Consider the following 17,753-nt stretch of genomic DNA (forward strand, 5'->3'; position numbering starts at 1 on the left):
CAAGTCATTCACCTGCCTCGGCCTCCCAAAGTGCTGGGATTACAGGCATGAGCCACCACGTCCGGCCATCATATTGAATGTTCTTCTGTCTTTGTAATTCTTGTCATTTTTGGTCAAAGGGTTCCAGGTTTTCATTTTGCAATGGGCCCTGCAAATTATGTAGACAATCCTGCCTCTGGCCCTGTGGGCAGGGCCTGCGTCTCCTTCCCAGGATAGCTGAGTGAAGGATTAGATACTAAGCCTTCATGATGGGTTTTGGTGAAACGAGGGCCATGGCGACTCCCTTCCCTGAGCCCCGGCTTCCAGGAAGGTAGGGCCACCTGTGCGAGCCGGCTCACCCCAGGCAGCCTCGCAGAGGTCCCTGGGTATTGTGAGCTGAGGGAAGCCCTGGGGAGGTGGTAGGTGTGAGGTGCATTTGAGCTGGGCTTGGAAGGGCCAAAGGTGGATGGGATCCTGGGATTTGAGGAGGAGAGGGAGATAGAGCAGGAGAGCTGTAGGACCTACAGAAGAGCTGGGGTTGAGGCTCCTCTGTGGGATGCAAGGGGCCCCTGAGATTCAGGCTCCGGGCCCAGCCCTGCCCCAGGCCCAATCATGGAACTCTCCCAGGCTGTTTCCTCAGGGGGTGACATGCAGATCATAAAATGCATAAAAGGGGCTGGGCGAGGTGGCTCACACCTGTCATCCCGGCACCTTGGAAGGCCGAGCAAGGTAGGCGGATCACCTGAGGTCAGGAGTTTGAGACCAGCCTGGCCAACGTGGTGAAACCCCATCTCTACTAAAAATACAAAAATTATCTGGCTGTGGTGGCGCATGCCCTCCCAGCTACCCTTCAAGCTGAGGCAGCTACTCGGGAGGTGGAGGTTGCAGTGAACCTAGATCGCACCACTGCACTCCAGCCTGGGTGGCAGAGCGAGACTCTGTCTCAAATAAATACATAAATAAACAAATAAAATAAAATGCACAAAAGGCCTTGAACTCGTGCACAAATTGTCAACACCGTCCCTGTGAGGAGCGAGCATCCCAAGCTGGGAGGCTCTGCGGGCGCTGCACCTGCCACTCGAGTGTGGCTCTCCAGAGCCTTGTCTTGGGGGCCAAGGGAGCAATCCTGGTGATGTGTGAACCCCAGACCTTTGCTCAGCGTTTCCTGGACTGGGTGTGGGCAGGTGGTATGGGCAGGTGGTATGGGCAGGTGGTAGGGCCCCAGGCAGACGCCCCATAGGTGGAGACGGCGGGACCACTCCCCAGGAAAACAGACGCTGAGGATCCTCCGTTCCCCCAGTCACACAACCTTTATTTCTCTACCAAACAGCAGGTCAGCAGGTGGGTACAGGGCCCGCTCCTGCTAAGACCTCCCCACCTCCCCCCAGGAAAGAAGCAGAGAATCTCTGCAGGCACCAGACTCCCTGCCTCCCCCACTGCGTTTCTCTCACTGGCCGCCCAGAACCTGTGAGAGGGAGGAGGGGTGAGGCGTAGGGGAGGGGGCTACAGAACATGGAGCCCATTGGTCTGCAAGGCAGGCTGAGGGGCTTTGGATGTGGGGGACTAGGAAAGGGATGTGAGTCTTGATTTACATATAAAATCATCAGTCTGCACACGCTCTAGGAGTGGCCAAGACATAGGGACAATCCTTGGTGCAGGTTTCTGCTACCCCTCGCTAGTTTTTGCCAAAGTAGCAAAAGCTGAGTTAAGAGAAAAATTCTGTCCATCAGAGGCCATCTTCCTCTCATCTGATATGACGTGTTCCTCCAGCAGGGAGGGAGGGAGAGCGGGTGCCCTTGGGGAATCAGCCATCCTTAGTGACATCCTTTCGGCTCATGGGTGTCGTGGGGAGGGGGCAAGGAGTGAGGCCAAGAGTCCAGGAAGCCCACCAGGCTCAGAGGCCCCCAGCTGTGCAGACAGCGCGGCGGCCGCACACTGGGCTGGGTAGAAGGGCGCCACGGTCAGGAACCTGAGGATGTCGGTGGTCTCAGGTACCAGGGACGCGGGTGGCAAGTTGGACCTCTGCGTGGCAGACCGGGCGGCAGTGTGACTCTGAACATCTCCCGAGCTCAGGACGGGGAACCCTGAGTCCAGGAGGCGCGCGGGGCTGAGGCAGTCCAGCCAGGCTTTCCCGACTTGTCTCCCGGGAAAGGACATCCTCGCTCCGCCCTCCTGCCGGCTCCTTGTGTCCGTCTCTCTGACCCTTCACCCGCCCGGGCCCTGCACATATAAACAGAAGCAGCCTCGAGCTCTCGGGAGCCGACTTTGTGGAAGCAGAGTGGAGTGGAGGGGGCTGCCCACCCTCGCTGTACACAGCTGGGCCCAGATGGCCCCTTCTGATCCCCCAGGGCTGACCCAGTCCCAGACCAGGCACGAAGAGAGAGGTCAGAGCCGGTAAGAAGGACCCCCAGAGTCCTCCGTCAGTGCAGAGGCACCAGTCACCAAGTGAACGTCCAGCTTCCGAACAAGGGGGAGCAAGCTCCAGCTGCACTCGTGATTTGGGGGTGGGGGGGCCCCGGATCTCTGGGTATGCTGCCAGCTCCGGCTTCTTGGCTGCCCCCTCCCAGCCTGCAGCTCCTGGGCCAGAGCTGCAGAGCAGGGAACTTCCCAGGAGAGTCCAGGAGACAGGAATTACAGACCTCCCAGGCCAGAAGGAAGTGGGGACAGAGACCCCAGGACGGGGCCCGGGGATGGCCATTCTGACCTCGGGCCTGTCATTTATCCGGCGGGACCCGGTGGGCAAGTGGGCGAGTGTGGTGGCAAGGGTGGGGGGCGGAGGCGAACACATGGGCACCATCAGTCTGAGGTACACACCGGAGACTCCACTCTGTTCCCAGCGCTCACTTCTGGCTCATTTCTTCTGGAAGAAAAACCCAAGAGCGCGTTAAGATGTATGTGTAAGGGCACACATCCAGACAGCTTCCTTCCAGCCCCTTCCATCCTCCACTTCTCCCAGGACAGCCCCAGGCTCCCAAGGCCTCCCTTAGTCCAGACCTCAGTCTACCCCAGCCCCACCGGACCCCCCAAGCTGCATCCAGGATCCATCCCCGCAACGTCCCCCACGCCTCCTTCACTCCACTGTTCCATCAGCACCCCCAAACCCTCCAGTACATACTCTCCTGGTTTTCATTTTGGGGAATCACCACCCATTATCGTAAGGTTCAGACACCAGGCTCATCCTTGCTTCTCTTGCCCATCACACACACCCAGGCCTGATTTCACCCAAATTGCGAGAGCTCATCTCTCCCACTGCCTTCCCCAACCAGGCCTCAAGGCCTCAAGGCCTGCCGCCCTGCCCCCAGCCCCAGTCTTACCGTCCCATCATACTTCTGCCCCTAGCATCAAGCAAAAGCCGAAATCCAGTCCCAACACCCCATTTCATGGTTCCTCACTGTCCTCAGAGTAAAGTCTAAGCCCGCCTGTAACCTCCCAGATCTGTCCCCAATACAACCACCACAGCCCAGCCCCCACGCCTCCCCTGACAACTGCTCAGCCACACCTGGGCAGAGCCAGGAGGTGGGGTGAGAGGACCGCCCCCAGCCCCCAGGGCTGACCCAGGATCCAGAATTCTCCCCAGGACACATCCCTCGTAAATGACATAAATCACGGGGAAGCCACAAGCATCAGGCTTCAGAAAAACTTCCCTAAAAGGCCACCCAGCTGGCTTGGGAGCGCAAAGGGTCCCTCTCTCACCCCCGCCCCGTCTGGCTTTAGGAGGCCCCAGGGACTGCAGTAGCGCTGGGCAGGGCTGTCTGGGCTTCCAGTGAGCACATTCCTCGGGGTGCCTCCACCCCACCCCTCAGATGGAGCCGCAGGTACCCAGCCTGTGTCTGTCCTCCAGCAGCCAGGCACCACCTTTCCAAGCCAAACTTCACAGGGACCACCGTCAACATCTCAAGGAGGTGGAGGTGGAGGTGCTTTCTGGGGCCAGCTCCCCAGATCTGTTCAATGCCGCTCGCCCACCTCCTGGTGTTAGTCTCACCCTCTCTTTTTGGGGGAGAGTGGGGGAACAGAGTTTTGCTCTGTCACCCAGGCTGGAGTGCAGTAGCTCAATCTCAGCTCACTGCAACCTCCACCTCCCAGGTTCAAGTGATTCTCCTGCCTCAGCCTCCCGAGTAGCTGGGATTATAGGCACCTGCCACCACGCCCAGCTAATTTTTGTATCTTTAGTAGAGATGGGGTTTCACCATGTTGGCCAGGCTGGTCTCTAACTCCTGACTCAGGTGATCTGCCCACCTCGGCCTCCCAAAGTGCTGGGATGACAGGTGTGAGCCACTGCACCCGGCCCGTTAGTCTCACCCCCTCTTGCCTGTCCTCCATGGTTGACACAGTCCGCACCGTGCTTACACTCCTCCCGTGCTTCCCCACTGCCCTGAGGACAATGTCCAGGGTCTCTACCTTGGCACTCAAGGCCCTTGCCCCTGCCGGGCCTCACCCCTCTGCCCTGCATGCTGAGTGTCAACATCTGTGCTCACCCAGCCCTGTTCCACCAGGTTCAATCCTGTTCTTTCCAACCACTGCTTTAACCTCAAAGCCTGGAGAAACTCCCCCTCACTCCTGGCCCAGCAGGAATCTCTCCCTCCCAGCCCTCCTAGCCTGTCCCCTCCCGCTAGGACCCTCCCGCTCTTTAGGCCTGGGGAATCCTCCACCATCCAGCAGCCAATGCTGAAAGGCATCTGAGACACAGGCTTTTCCGTGCTGGCTGAGACATTTTAGCCATGGGCATAATTTTCTCACTTTTAAGTTTTCTCAAGAAAATCTGCTGAGCTCCTAGGCAGTTGTGGCCATTTGGGAACTCTCCCGAGGAAGACAAGCCACCTGAGCTGTCATGTCCCCAGAGGCCTGGCTCTGCAGGTGAGTGAGTGTGGTCAAGGACGGCCCAGAGGCCTGGCTGTGCAGGTGAGTGAGTGTGGTCAAGGGCGGCTGGAGGATTTCCTGGCGGACCGGCCCGGTGCTCCGGCCAGTGCAGGGATGCCTTGGGCCCCCATGGATGGGAGTTTCCAGTGTCTCCCCAGGGCTGTCACAGAGCATTGGCCAGAAAGAACCAGACAGGGGGCAGAATGGCCTTGCTCAGCTCCCCCCACCCCCACCCATTGGCCCCAGCAGGCTTGCCTTGGCTGAGTGCCCACCTGCACCCTCGAGTGAGCCCCTACATGTGTCTGGCCACTCCCTGGACAGGCCAGCTCCCTTGCTCAGCCCCTAGGGAATGACAGACGCGTGATCTATTTATAGTCCCTCCACCCACTCCCCTGGGGCACATTCCTGCCAGAGGTGGCCCCCAACGACCCAGCTGCCCCAGTGCAGGCCTCAGCCACTGCCCAGCCCAACCTAGGCCCCTGCACAGCAGTCCAGCCATACGGCCACCGCCTCTGCGCAAATTCCCAGGAACCGGAGCTCACCCCTGCTTCCTCCCTCTCTGAGCAGCTCTGACAGCGAGACGATGCTGTGTCCCTGGCCCTTGGAAGTTCAGAATCACCCACTCTCAGAGCCCACCTGGCAGAGGCAGGTGGATGGACCCCATGTCCCAGCCCACTTCTCTCCAGCCCGACACCTGCCATCCTGTCCTCTCCACTCCGGGGTTAAGGCAGACCCAGAGCTGTGAGCTCAGAAACAACCCTCCCCTTGACCCACCCACAAGGTGATACCAAAGAGGCCAACCCGGTGTGGTCTGGGGTCCAAGAGGTGGTCAGCGGCTGCCTACTCCAGGCCTGCGAGACTGTCCTGAGAAGGCCTGGATAAAGACAGGCTGGGTGCAGAGGGGTCAGAGGCTGAGGCCCAGAAGAGCACACAGTGCCCTGGCCATGTAGGGGGTGGCAGGTGAAGACAGTGAGGCAGTGTGGCCCAAGAGGTGCTCCCGTTGCTGGCCCAGTGAGCCCAGGTCCCCTGCAGTGCAAGACCCTGCGGACACCTTGGGACCCAGCCACCAGAGCCCCTTCACACCCTCCACTTGGTGATCCGAGAACGCCTCCCCGATGTGCAGACAGAGAGGCTCTGCGCTCCACACCCACAGCGTCCACTGCAGCCCAGGAGCAGAGGCGGGCGGGGAGGCAGGCTGGAGGCGGGACGGGGCCTCCCACTCACCGTGCATGTGGTTCCGGGACAGGTACTTGAGGGCCTCATCCAGCAGGATGACAGGCAGAGATATCTGGAGCACCACCACCCACTGGCGCCCGCTCAGTGGGGTCACCTGGAAAATGAGCTGGCGGGGAGGGGAAGGGAGGTTTGGTTAAAGGAAGGACTGGCTGTCCCGTGCCCCAGCCATCTGCTGGCCTTATCCACCTGGGCTCTGATGGACTCTTCATGAGCGCTCCTAAGAACCCCCTGGATGCACCCCCGATCTTTGTCCACTCAGCTGCACCCCCCGATCTTTGTCTGTTCAGCTGCACCCCCCAATCTTTGTCCGCTCAGCTTCCTCTGCCTCAAGGGCCCACCTCTGCCCTTGCCCACTGGGTCAACTCCCATCCATCCTGTTGGGAGGCGGGAGGATTCTGCCCTGGGAAAGCTCGTCCTTCCTCCCACCCCAGCCTGGGCACAGTCCCCTCAGCAAGGGGTTTCCCCCTCTTCCGTCCCCCAGGTCTGGGAGCTCCTGAAGGTGGGGCCACAGCTGGAGGTGGTGGCTGGCCAGACCTCTCACCTCCCTCTCCTCCAGGTAGTTTCCATTGCAGGGGGGCCAGAGAGGTCCAGTGACCAGCCCAGGGCCTGTGATGTCCAGGGACCAGGGCAGTGGGGCAGGCGGGGTGACTCACAGGCAGGGGCGGCACGAGCAGGATGAGGAAGTGCAGGGCCATGGACATGGCCACAGCCACCAGCAGCCAGGGGTTCATCCAGGGCGGCATCCGCAGCAGCGACTGGTTCTCCGAGACGCTGCCAGGGCACAGGGTGCTCCCCTTAGGCCGGGGTGCAGGGAGGCCCTGCCAGGCACCCACCCCCATGGGAGGAGCCTCACCACTTCTCTAGCGGTGCATTGCTGTTGCCCGCTCGGCCTGCCAGGGCCTGTCCCGGGCTGGGACCCCTTTCTCTGCCCCTCAGACCTAATCTTGGCCGATTTCTTTGGACCCCAGTTTCAGCCTTCTTTGTCTCCTGGGCCCCAATTCCGGTCCCCATGAACTCTCAGAATCCTCTCTGGGCCCCTTTGACCCTTAGGCCCCAATCCAGATCCCCAAATCTTTGGATCCCAATCTTGGACCCCCACTGACCCCCAGACCCTAATCCTGGACCCCGCTTGGCCCCAGACCTTTGTTCTGGACCCCTCTAACTCCCAGACCTCAGTCCTGGACTCCCCTGACCCCTGGAACCCAATCCTGGACCCTTGACCCTCTGATCCCAATCCTGAACCCCCCAAACATCAGACCCCAACCTGAACCCCTTGACCCCAGACCCCAATCCTGGACCTCTCTTGACCCCTAGACCCCAGTCTGGGATGCTCTTGACCTCTGGACCCCAATCCTGGACCCCCTTGAACCTCTGATCCCAATCCTGAACCCCCCAAACATCAGACCCCAATCTTGGACCCTCTTGACCCACAGACCCCAATCCTGGACCCCTGACCCTCAGACACTGATACTGGAACCCCCAGCCCTCAGCCCCCACTCCTCGGCCCCAGCTCCAGGCCCTGCGCCCAGCCCACCTGGACCCCTGACCCTCAGACACTGATACTGGAACCCCCAGCCCTCAGCCCCCACTCCTCGGCCCCAGCTCCAGGCCCTGCGCCCAGCCTACCTGTTGAGGGCATTGCACATTTCAATGGTCACGAGCACGGACAAGGCCATGGTGGTGGGGAAGCGTGACTCGAACACCTCACAGTCGATGCCGGCAAAGAGCGGGTTGTCTTCGGAGCACTTCAGGAAGTTCCTCTGGGGGCACCGTGGCAGGTCAGAGAGAGCGGCAGGTCAGGCGAGGGGCTGGTGGGTGGGAGGAGGGAAGCCTCATCCTGCCCTTGGCCCACGCCTGGGCACAACCAGCACACAAAACACTGCCGTGGGGTGGGCTGGGGATCCCGGGAGGGGTGCGGGGTCGGGGCGGCGGTGGGGAGAGCTGCACCGTGCCAGGGAGAAGCAAGGGCACAGCGTGGGAAAGGCAGACGTTCTGGAGCAGGAGTGCAGCGGCTCAGAAGGAGAACAGCTGGCATTAGCCTGGGGAGGCTAGCGGGAGCCTGGAGATCACTGAATAGGGAAATGCATGTGAAAATCAACCAACAAAACCATGCGGGAGTGGAATTCACCTTTGCGGTATAGAAGATGAAGGCTACGCAGGCCCTGTTCACTGTTATTAAGATTCCATTTACAGCTGGGCGTGGTGGCTCATGCCTGTCATCCCAGGGAGGCGGAGGCGGGTGGATCACCTGAGGTCAGGAGTTTGGGACCAGCCTGGCTAACATGGTGAAACCCCGTCTCTACTAAAAATACAAAAATTAGCCTGCGTGGTGGTGCGTGCCTGTAATCCCAGCTACTCGGGAGGCTGAGGCAGGACAATCACTTGAACCCGGGGGTCAGAGGTTGTAGTGAGCAGAGATCGCGTCACTGCACTCCAGCCTGGGTGACAGAGCAAGACTCTGTCTCAAAAAAAAAAAAAAATTCCATTTACACCTCATACCTCACTCCATTTCTGCCACTGAAACTGAACTCTATCAGATCTGATGTGTGCTTCTGACAGAGACTAATGAATTGCCAAGGTGCAGCTGTAACAGGTAGCTTCTCTGTAATTAACATGAAGCGCTCAGGGCTGATAACCCCTATAGCCTCAGGGGAGTTTTCTTACTGCTCAAAAACCTTGTTCACAGAATCGTGCTAAGAGGCTGAACGGAGGGTATTGGGGGAACTTGTCTTGTTCTCTTCCATATTATAGGGATGAGGGTGAATGTTTCCAACCGTTAACCAGCTTAGTTCACCAAAAATATAGATCCTGCTCTTGGGAGTCTAATCTGAACATGGAGATCTTTTTTCTTTTTTTTTTTTTTTTGAAACAGAGTCTCGCTCTGTCACCCGAGCTGGAGTGCAGTGGCATGATCTCGGCTCACTGCAAGCTCCGCCTCCCGGGTTCACGCCATTCTCCTGCCTCAGCCTCCCAAGTAGCTGGGACTACAGGCGCCCGCCACCACGCCCGGCTAATTTTTTGTATTTTTAGTGGAGACGGGGTTTCACCGTGTTAGCCAGGATGGTCTAGAACTCCTGACCTCGTGATCCGCCCGCCTTGGCCTCCCAAAGTGCTGGGATTACAGGCGTGAGCCACCGCGCCCGGCCATGGAGATCTTTTAAATTAGAAATTGGGGCCATGTGCTGTGAACATAATCCTCAAAGAAAAACGTGTAAAATGCCCGGCTGTCTGATCTACTGTCTGTCGCATAAATACATCCGTTTTCCCACACTGCACAAATGCAGATAAGGCCACTCTGAGTATCGTTTCTCCTCTCTCGTGCAGGAAGAGAAATAAGCCTGGCTAGATATTTTAACAAAGAGATAGAGAATCTGATAATCTCTTAAATCGATAGTGGACGTTTTCTCCAAAACTCAAGCTCCAGCATTTGAGGCAAGTGGATATGTCTTGTTTTCTTTTTATTTTGTTTTGTTTTGTTTTTGTTTTCGAGACTGAGTCTCACTCTGTCACCGAGGCTGGAGTGCAGTGGCGTGATCTTGGCTCACTGCAACCTCCATCTCCCAAGTTCGAGCGATTCTTCTGCCTCAGCCTCCTGAGTAGCTGGGACTACAGGCACCCGCCACCACCCGTGGCTAATTTTTGTGTTTGTAGTAGAGACGGGGTTTCATCATATTGGCTAGGCTGGTCTCGATCTCCTGACCTCAAGTGATCCACCCGCCTCGGCCTCCCAAAGTGCTGGGCTTACAGGCGTGAGCCACTGTGCCTGGCCTTGTTTTGTTTTTGAGACAAGGTCTCACTCCCATCACCCAGGCTGGAGTGCAGTGGCACGATCTCAGCTCACTGTAGCCTCGACTTCCTGGGCTCAGGTGATTGTCCCACCGCAGCCTCCCAAGTAGCTGAGACTCCAGGCCTGAGCCGTCACTGTTGGCTAAGTTTTGTCTTTTTTGTAGAGACGGGGTTTCGCCATGTTGTCCAGGCTGCTCTCAAATTCCTGGGCTCAAGTGATCTGCCCGCCTTGGCATCCCAGAGTGCTGGGATTATAGGCGTGAGCAGCCACACGTTTCTATTTGGTGCTGATCATAGAGAAGGGAAAACCTCCAGAACTTTGAACCTGACTCTACCCACCCAGTGACCGAGAGGACCAAATCCTCCTGCCAATTGTGCCACTGTTGTCGGGCCTCACCCTGCCAGATCTTAATGGCCTATCCATACATGTACACACAAACATAGGGACACACACCTCCCACTCGGGCATGTGAATGCTTAAGACGCTTATGCGTCTACACAGAGAAGAAAATACCAACAAGATCATGTCAGGATGTTTCGGCCGGGCACGGTGGCTCACGCCTGTATTCCCAGCACTTTGGGAGGCCAAGGCGGGCAGATCACCTGAGGTCAGGAGTTCGAGACCAGCCTGGCCAACATGGTGAAACTCCATCTCTACAAAAATACAAAAATTAGCCAGGCATGATGGCGGGTGCCTGTAATCCCAGCTACTCGGGAGGCTGAGGCAGGAGAATCGCTTGAACCCGGGAGGCGGAGGTTGCAGTGAGCTGAGATCGCGCCACTGCACTCCAGCCTGGGTGACAGAGCGAGACTCTGTCTCAAATAAATAAATAAATAAATATGTTTCAATGGGTCTGTTGCTCTTGCTGTAAATGCCCTGCCCAGTGCAGACCTTCTGGGTTTCACCAGCAAGCACCTGCCACACACACACAGTATTCCCCAGGTCATAGGTCTCGGTGTGGCCTCTGGAATTATTCATTAGAAGGTGCGCTGGGGTCCGGGTGCCGTGGCTCACGCCTGTGATCCCAGCACTTTGGGAGGCTGAGGCGGGCGGATCATGAGGTCAGGAGATCGAGACCATCCTGGCCAACATGGTGAAACCCTGTCTCTACTAAAATACAAAAAATTAGCCGGGCATGGTGGTGGGCGCCTGTAGTCCCAGCTAATGGGGAGGCTGAGGCAGGGGAATCACTTGAACCCGGGAGGTGGAGGTTGCAGTGAGCCAAGATTGCACCACTGCACTCCAGCCTGGGTGACAGAGCGAGACTCCATCTCAAACAAACAAACAAAAAAAGACAGTGCGTCGGGCTGGAGCTTCTGCCTCACAGGCACATGGGGAAGCCCTGGAGGAGCCCATTTCTACTGGTGAGGCCACTGCTGTGCCCACTCCTTCCCTTTGCCTGCCTGCCTATGTCCTATTCCCTGTGTCCTGCAAGACCCCCTTTGGTTTGGTTTTCTTTTCTTTTCTTTTTTTCTTTTTTGAGACTGCGTCTTGCTCTGTCTCCCAGGCTCGAGTGCAGTGGTGCGATCTCAGCTCACTGCAACTTCCGCCTCTCGGGTTCAAGCGATTCTCCTGCCTCAGCCTCCCGAGTAGCTGGGAAAACAGGCATCCGCCACCACACCTGGGTAATTTTTGTATTTTTAGTAGAGACAGGGTTTCACCATGTTGGTCAGGCTGGTCTTGAACTCCTGACCTCAAGTGATCCGCCCACCTCGGCTTCCCAAAGTGCTGGGATTACAGGCGTGAGCCACCGCGGCAGGATGTGTTCTTTTTTTTTCTAGAGACAGGGTCTTACTCTGTCACCAAGGCTGAAGTGCAGTGGTGTGATCACGGCTCAGTTCAGCTGTGACCTCCTGGACTCAACTGATCCTCCCACCTCAGCCTCCCAAGAAGCTACAGGCACACATCACCGTGCCTGGTTCATTTTTATTTTTATTTGGTAGAGATGGGGTCTCACTGTATTGCCCAGGCTGGTCTCAAACTCCTGGGCTCAAGTACTTTGGCCTCCCAAAGTACTAGGATTACAGGCGTCAGCCACCATGCCCAGCCTCCCCTCGATTCTTTTTTTTTTTTTTTTCTTGAGATGGAGTCTTGCTCTGTCACCCAGGCTGGAGTGCAGTGGTATGATCTTGGCACACTGCAACCGCTGCCTCCCAGGTTCATGTGATTCAACTGCCTCAGCCTCCTGAGTAGCTGGGATTACAGGCGTGCACCACCACGCCCAGCTAATGTTTGTATTTTTAATAGAGACGGGGTTTCACCTCGTTGGACGGCTGGTCTCGAACTCCTGACCTCAGGTGGTCCACCCACCTCGGCCTCCCAAAGTGCTGGGATTACAGGCGTGAACCACCGTGCCCAGCCCTCCCCTCCATTCTTGATCTCCTCAGTTTGACCCTCTGCCTAAAGTCCCACCATTTAGGGGCTCATTCCTCTGAGGCCTCAACGTTTTAGGGGTCCCTTGACAAAGGTAAGATACATCTGGCAGTGAGGCCTCTTGGTCCCCGCTAACTGACTGGGATGGGGAGGCGCCTTTGGCTTGGGGGTCCGTGCTGGTGTCTCTGGGTTTCCCGTGGGCTCTGAGCTCGGCTCCCCAGGTGGGGATGTTTATTCGTGTATAGCGAGTGGGGAAGGACACTGCAGGCCACCCATGCGGCTCTAGACCCATCTCCCCTGGAACTCCAACAACTCGAGCTGTAAGTTCAACAGGCTCCCTGGCCAGCCCTTGCTCACCAGCTGGTAGAAGTTGATGTGAGGTCCCTCGGCGTCATACACAAACCACCAGGTGGCGGCAGCCACTGTGGCCAGGCCTACGTACACTGCGGGGAAGGGAGGAGACCGGCTGTAGAGAATGGCGGTGGTTTTCTGGCGTCTGTTTCCCCTGCCTAATAATTCCCTGAATTCCCTGCAGGGAGCCACCCTTTTCCTCTCTCAGCCCTGTGGTTTGCAGGCACCTCCCCTCGATGCCAGTGGTGGGCCCTGGCTGGTCAATCAGCATCTGCCATACCCTTGGCCCCAGTGCTTGGAGATGAGCAGGTGAACCCTATGTGGGCCAATGAGAACAGGCCTGTTGAGACTTTTTTTTTTTTTTTTTTTTGAGACGGAGTCTCACTCTGTCGCCCAGGCTGGAGTGCAATGGTGCCATCTCGGCTCACAGCAACCTCTGCCTCCTGGGTTCAAGCGATTCTCCTGCCTCAGTCTCCCGAGTAGGTGGGATTACAGGCACCTGCCATCATGCCCAGCTAATTTTTGTATTTTTAGTAGAGATGGGGTTTCACCACGTTGGCCAGGCTGGTCTCAAACTCCTGACCTCAGGTGATCTGCCTGCCTCGGCCTCCCAAAGTGCTGGGGTTACAGGTGTGAGCCACATGTTGGCCAGGCTGGTCAAACTCCAGACCTCAAGTGATCTGCCCACCTCGGCCTCCCACAATGCTGGGGTTACAAGTGTGAGCCACCATGCCCAGCCCAGGCCTGAGATTCTTATCATACTACCGGGAGAGCAGCATGATAAAAGACTCTCTCTTCTGCTGAATTTGGGGTTGTAATGGAGTGAGCAGAGGGCTGGGGCTGCAGCAGCCATTCTGCCACCATGAGGGACGTGGGCCTGAGAATGAAGCTGAGGCAGTGCCAAAATATGCCAGTGATACTGAGACCCAGATCCCGCCATGCCTGGTCTTTTCCATTACATGAGCTCATACAGTTTCTACTGGCACAAGCCAGGCTGAGTCACACTGTCTGCAGCTTGCAAGCCTGATACAAGGCTCTTAGGAAGCTTAGGAATTCCACGGAGGGCTCAGGCCCCACTCACCTCCGATAGCCAGGTATCGGAAGAAGAGCCAGCCACTGATGAGGGCTTCTCGGGGGCTCCGGGGCAGCTTCTCCATGATGTCCAGGTCTGGCGGGTTGAAGCCCAGAGCCGTGGCAGGTAGGCCGTCTGTCACCAGGTTCACCCAGAGCAGCTGCACAGGGATCAGGGCTTCGGGCAGGCCCAGAATTGCCGTGAGGAAGATGCTGGAACAGAGTCATGAGCTCTAGCCCCGGTAGGCCTAGCCCCCGGCAGATGCAGGCTCCAGCTCCTGCTCAGACCCAAGGCTGGGAGCTCACCCACCCACTGTCTCCACAGCAGCCCCTCCTCCCTCCGCCAGCTGTGATGTGAAGGGTGTGTGTACACAGCTCTGCCTCGGGCCTGGCCAGTCCTGCCTTCCCCAGTCCCAGCTCTGGATCCTGGACATACCTGCTCTTTAGGCCTAGCAGAGGCCAAGTACACACACACACACACACACACACACACACACACGCACACGAAGAGGGCATGCCCAAGAATCAGACATGTGCAAAAACCTAGCACATGCCACACCATCCGGCAAACACAAGCAAACACCTACATATCTGCCCTGAGGTGCAGAGATGCAGAATCCATCCATGTCCAGCAACACACACGCTCACCATTCCCCACAGGCATCCTCACATGTGAATACGAGTGTGTGCACAGTCACACGCCGGCACAAATCCTTCTGCTTGTACTCACGCTCAAAATGCACCAGAGCACACATGCAAAATATACACATTACACACACCTCTCACTCAGGCACTCAGGCCATGTGCACACAAATACACATTCGCACACGGACACACACACGACTGCCTAAAGGTGGGGCTTTTCTCTCATCTTGCTAATCTGCAAGTGGGAAGTTCATGGCTGGAGGGCTGACAGGCGACTCTTCAGGCACCTCCGTGGGTGCTGGGGTGACCATGATCCATAGGTCACCAGGGCCTCTGGAGAATGACAAGAGGTGCTCTCCCCTGTCCACTCCAAGGTGGGACCCTGGAAAGCCCCAGCCAGGGCAGGGCACAGGCCCCTCCATCCCTGCAGCGCATCCGAGGAACAGGCGTTTTCCCCATCTCAGGGGCACAGAGCGGATTGAGAGGGCTGAGAGGAGGGAAGGCCCGGCCTCACCAGACGACCTCGCCAACATTGGAGGAGATGAGGTAGCGGATGAATTGCTTCATGTTGCTGTAGATGGCCCGGCCCTCCTCCACCGCAGCCACGATGGAGGCAAAGTTGTCATCTGACAGCACCATCTCTGCCGCCGACTTGGCCACGGCCGTGCCTGAGCCCATGGCGATGCCGATCTCTGCTTTCTTCAGGGCTGGTGCGTCGTTCACTCCATCGCCAGTCTGTGGGCCAGGTCAGGTAGGGCTGTGCCTGAGAAACTTCCCTTCCACCTCCCCATCTCTTCTCAACTCAGCCCACCCCCAATCTTAGGGGATGTTCCAAAGGAAGCAGACAGTTAGACAGAACAAATGGTGGGTTCAAGAATGAACTAGAAATTGGGCAGAGGATGAGGCTGAGGAGAAGGCAAGGGATGCAGACAAGGACAAAGTTGGGGAGAATATCAAGCATGAGGTTAGGGAAGATGATGAGGTGGGGATGGGGATGACGGTGAGTCAGCGATGAGGGTAGGGATGAAATTGAGGTTGGATGTGGGGTAGAAGATGAAACTGAGGTTAGGGAGAAAGCTGAGGTCAAGTCAGGAATGAAGTCAAGGGGATGGCCCGGGTAAAGAGCCAGGTAGGTGTTGTAGTCAAGTTGAAGATCAAGGCAAAGGCAGAGGCCAAGTCAAGGTCCACATGAGGAGTGAAGTCAAGTGACATGAAGTCTGGAGTTGCAATCAAGGTCAAACTGAAGGCCAGGCCAGGAGCGGTGGCTCACGCCTGTAATCCCAGCACTTTGGGAGGCCGAGGTGGGTGGATGACCTGAGGTCAGGAGTTCAAGACCAGCCTGGGCAACATGATGAAACCCCATCTCTACTGAAAATACAAAAATTAGCTGGGCGCAGTGGCGCGTGCCTATGATCTCAGCTACATGGGAGGCTGAGGCAGGGGAGTCGCTTGAGCCCGGGAGGCGGAGGTTGCAGTGAGCCGAGACTGCACTGCTGCACTCCAGCCTGGGCAACAGAGTGAGACTCCATCTAAAAAAATTGAAGGCCAGATCAAAGTTGAGGTCAACATAAAGCATTACATTGGGGGTGGGGCAGTGTCAAGGTCAACGTTGAGAATAAGGTCTTGGTCCAGGTCAAGACTGGAATTCTTTTTTTTTGGTGGGGGACAGAGTCTCACTCTATCGCCCAGGCTGGAGTGCAATGGCACAATCTCGGCTCACTGCAACCTCCTCCTCCCAGGTTCAAGCAATTCTCGTGCCTCAGCCTCCCAAGTAGCTGAGATTATAGGCATGCACCAGCTAATTTTTGTATTTTTAGTGGAGACAGGGTTTCACCATGTTGACTAGGCTGGTCTCAAACTCCTGACCTCAGGTGATCTGCCCGCCTCAACCTCCGAAAGTGCTGGGATTACAGGCGTGAGCCACCGTGCCCGGCCAAGACTGGAATTCATATCAGGGTTAAGCTCAACGTAAATAGTTATGTCGGGCTGGGTGTGGTGGCCCACACTTGTAATCCTAGCACTTTAGGAGGCCAAGGCAGGAGGATTGCTTGATCCAGGAGTTCAAGACTAGCCTGGGCAACATAGGGAGACCTCATCTCTACAAAAAATTAAAAAATTAGCCAGGCATGGTGGTGCATGCCTGTAGTCCCAGCTCCTCAGGAGGCTGAGGTGGGAGGATCTCTTGAGCCCGAGAGGATGAGGCTTCAGTGAGCCATGACTGTGCCACTGCATTCCAGCCTGGGCAACAGAGTGAGACCTCATCACACAAACAAAAAAAGAATTAGATTAAGATGAGGGTCAACATCAAGGTCAGGGACAAAGTCAGCACAGAGGTCAAAGATAAGATCAAGAACCAGGCTGCAGTGATAGTCAAGCTTGGTGTGCAGATCAAGGCTGGGCCATGGGTCAGGGTTAAGGACTGGGTTAGGCTGGAGGTCAAGATTAAAAACAGAGACCAGGTCAGGGGAGAGGCTGAGGTCAGAAGAATAGGTCAGCAATTAAGAACAAAAACTAGGCCCAAACTAAATGTCCATCCAAAGAGGAATGGTTCAATAAACTGAAATATTCACACAGTGGAATGCTACTCAACAATAAAAAAGCAATAGGCCGGGCGCGGTGGCTCATACTTGTAATCCCAGCACTTTGGGAGGCTGAGGCGGGCGGATCACAAGGTCAAGAGATTGAGACCATCCTGGCCAATGTGGTGAAACCCCGTCTCTACTAAAAATAAAAAAATTAGCTGGGCATGGTGGTGCGCGCCTGTGGTCCCAGCTACTCAGGAGGCTGAGGCAGGAGAATCGCTTGAACCTGGGAGGCGGAGGTTGCAGTGAGCCGAGATCGTGCCACTGCGCTCCAGCCCTGGGTGACAGAGCGAGACTCTGTCTAAAAAAAAAAAAAAAAAAAAAAAAAAGCAATAATCTGATACGACAAGGCAGATAGATCTCAAAAAAGCCCCAAACCAAAACAGTCCATACTGTATGATTCCATTCATTTGAAAATCTAGGGCAGATAAAACTCATATACGGTGAAAAAAAAAACCGAAAACAGTGATCGCCTGTTTTGCGACGAAGGACAGAGATGGGGAAGGCGTGTGACGGAACTTCATGGGTTGATGGTAATGTGTCATATCTTTTTTTTTTTGTTTTTTGTTTTTTTTTTTTTTGGAGAGATGGGGTCTCAAACTCCTGGGCTCAAGCAATCCTCCTGCCTTGGCCTCCCAAAGTGCTGGAATTACAAGCGTGAGCCACCATGCCTGGCATTTTCCTATCTTGATAAGGCTGTGAGTTACACAGGTGTGTGCATGTTCCTAAACTCATCAGATAGTACGCCAAAGATCTGTGTGCTTCATCGAAGGCAAATTTTGCCTCAAAAAGGAAAAACAGAACCACAAACAACATTGCTCTCTGGTTAACATGTATTCTAAAGTAGGTGAGGGGGAAGTATGCCGATGTCT

At 56.3% G+C, this 17,753-nt stretch overlaps 1 protein-coding gene across 17 annotated transcripts in view, besides 2 other annotated features; it reads right to left on the reverse strand.

Annotated features, from left to right (window-relative positions):
* ATP2A3 (ATPase sarcoplasmic/endoplasmic reticulum Ca2+ transporting 3) overlaps window positions 1,271-17,753 on the reverse strand; it is a 40,565-nt gene continuing 24,082 nt past the window's right edge. Inside the window, exons 15-23 of one of the 17 annotated variants that reach the window (XM_047436151.1) lie at window positions 14,814-15,034; window positions 13,665-13,867; window positions 12,590-12,675; window positions 7,699-7,832; window positions 6,726-6,843; window positions 6,061-6,178; window positions 5,638-5,725; window positions 2,794-2,836; window positions 1,271-2,199 (exon numbers count right to left, since the gene is read on the reverse strand). In XM_047436151.1, the coding sequence (XP_047292107.1) occupies window positions 2,185-2,199; window positions 2,794-2,836; window positions 5,638-5,725; window positions 6,061-6,178; window positions 6,726-6,843; window positions 7,699-7,832; window positions 12,590-12,675; window positions 13,665-13,867; window positions 14,814-15,034 (1,026 nt within the window). In that variant the 3' untranslated portion in view covers window positions 1,271-2,184. Of the gene's footprint in view, window positions 3,967-4,577; window positions 5,179-5,378; window positions 5,437-5,624; window positions 5,726-6,060; window positions 6,179-6,725; window positions 6,844-7,698; window positions 7,833-12,589; window positions 12,676-13,664; window positions 13,868-14,813; window positions 15,035-17,753 lie in introns of those variants that run through there. The other 16 variants (XM_047436150.1, NM_174954.3, XM_047436152.1 and 13 more) reach the window with 16 other exon arrangements.
* Window positions 5,262-6,461: an enhancer, noted in NCBI's record as "BRD4-independent group 4 enhancer chr17:3831158-3832357 (GRCh37/hg19 assembly coordinates)". NCBI's record gives its function as "activates an origin of replication core promoter dependent on BRD2, P300/CBP, MED14 and CDK7 cofactors, and independent of BRD4, by STARR-seq in HCT116 cells {active_cell/tissue: HCT116}" and the evidence as "EXISTENCE:reporter gene assay evidence [ECO:0000049][PMID:35650434]".
* Window positions 7,289-8,233: an enhancer, noted in NCBI's record as "H3K4me1 hESC enhancer chr17:3833185-3834129 (GRCh37/hg19 assembly coordinates)". NCBI's record gives its function as "activates a minimal SCP1, AML or CMV promoter by ChIP-STARR-seq in naive H9 embryonic stem cells {active_cell/tissue: H9 hESC(naive)}" and the evidence as "EXISTENCE:reporter gene assay evidence [ECO:0000049][PMID:30033119]".

The sequence above is a fragment of the Homo sapiens genome, chromosome 17 (assembly GCF_000001405.40).
Source record: "Homo sapiens chromosome 17, GRCh38.p14 Primary Assembly".
Classification (NCBI taxonomy): domain Eukaryota; kingdom Metazoa; phylum Chordata; class Mammalia; order Primates; family Hominidae; genus Homo; species Homo sapiens.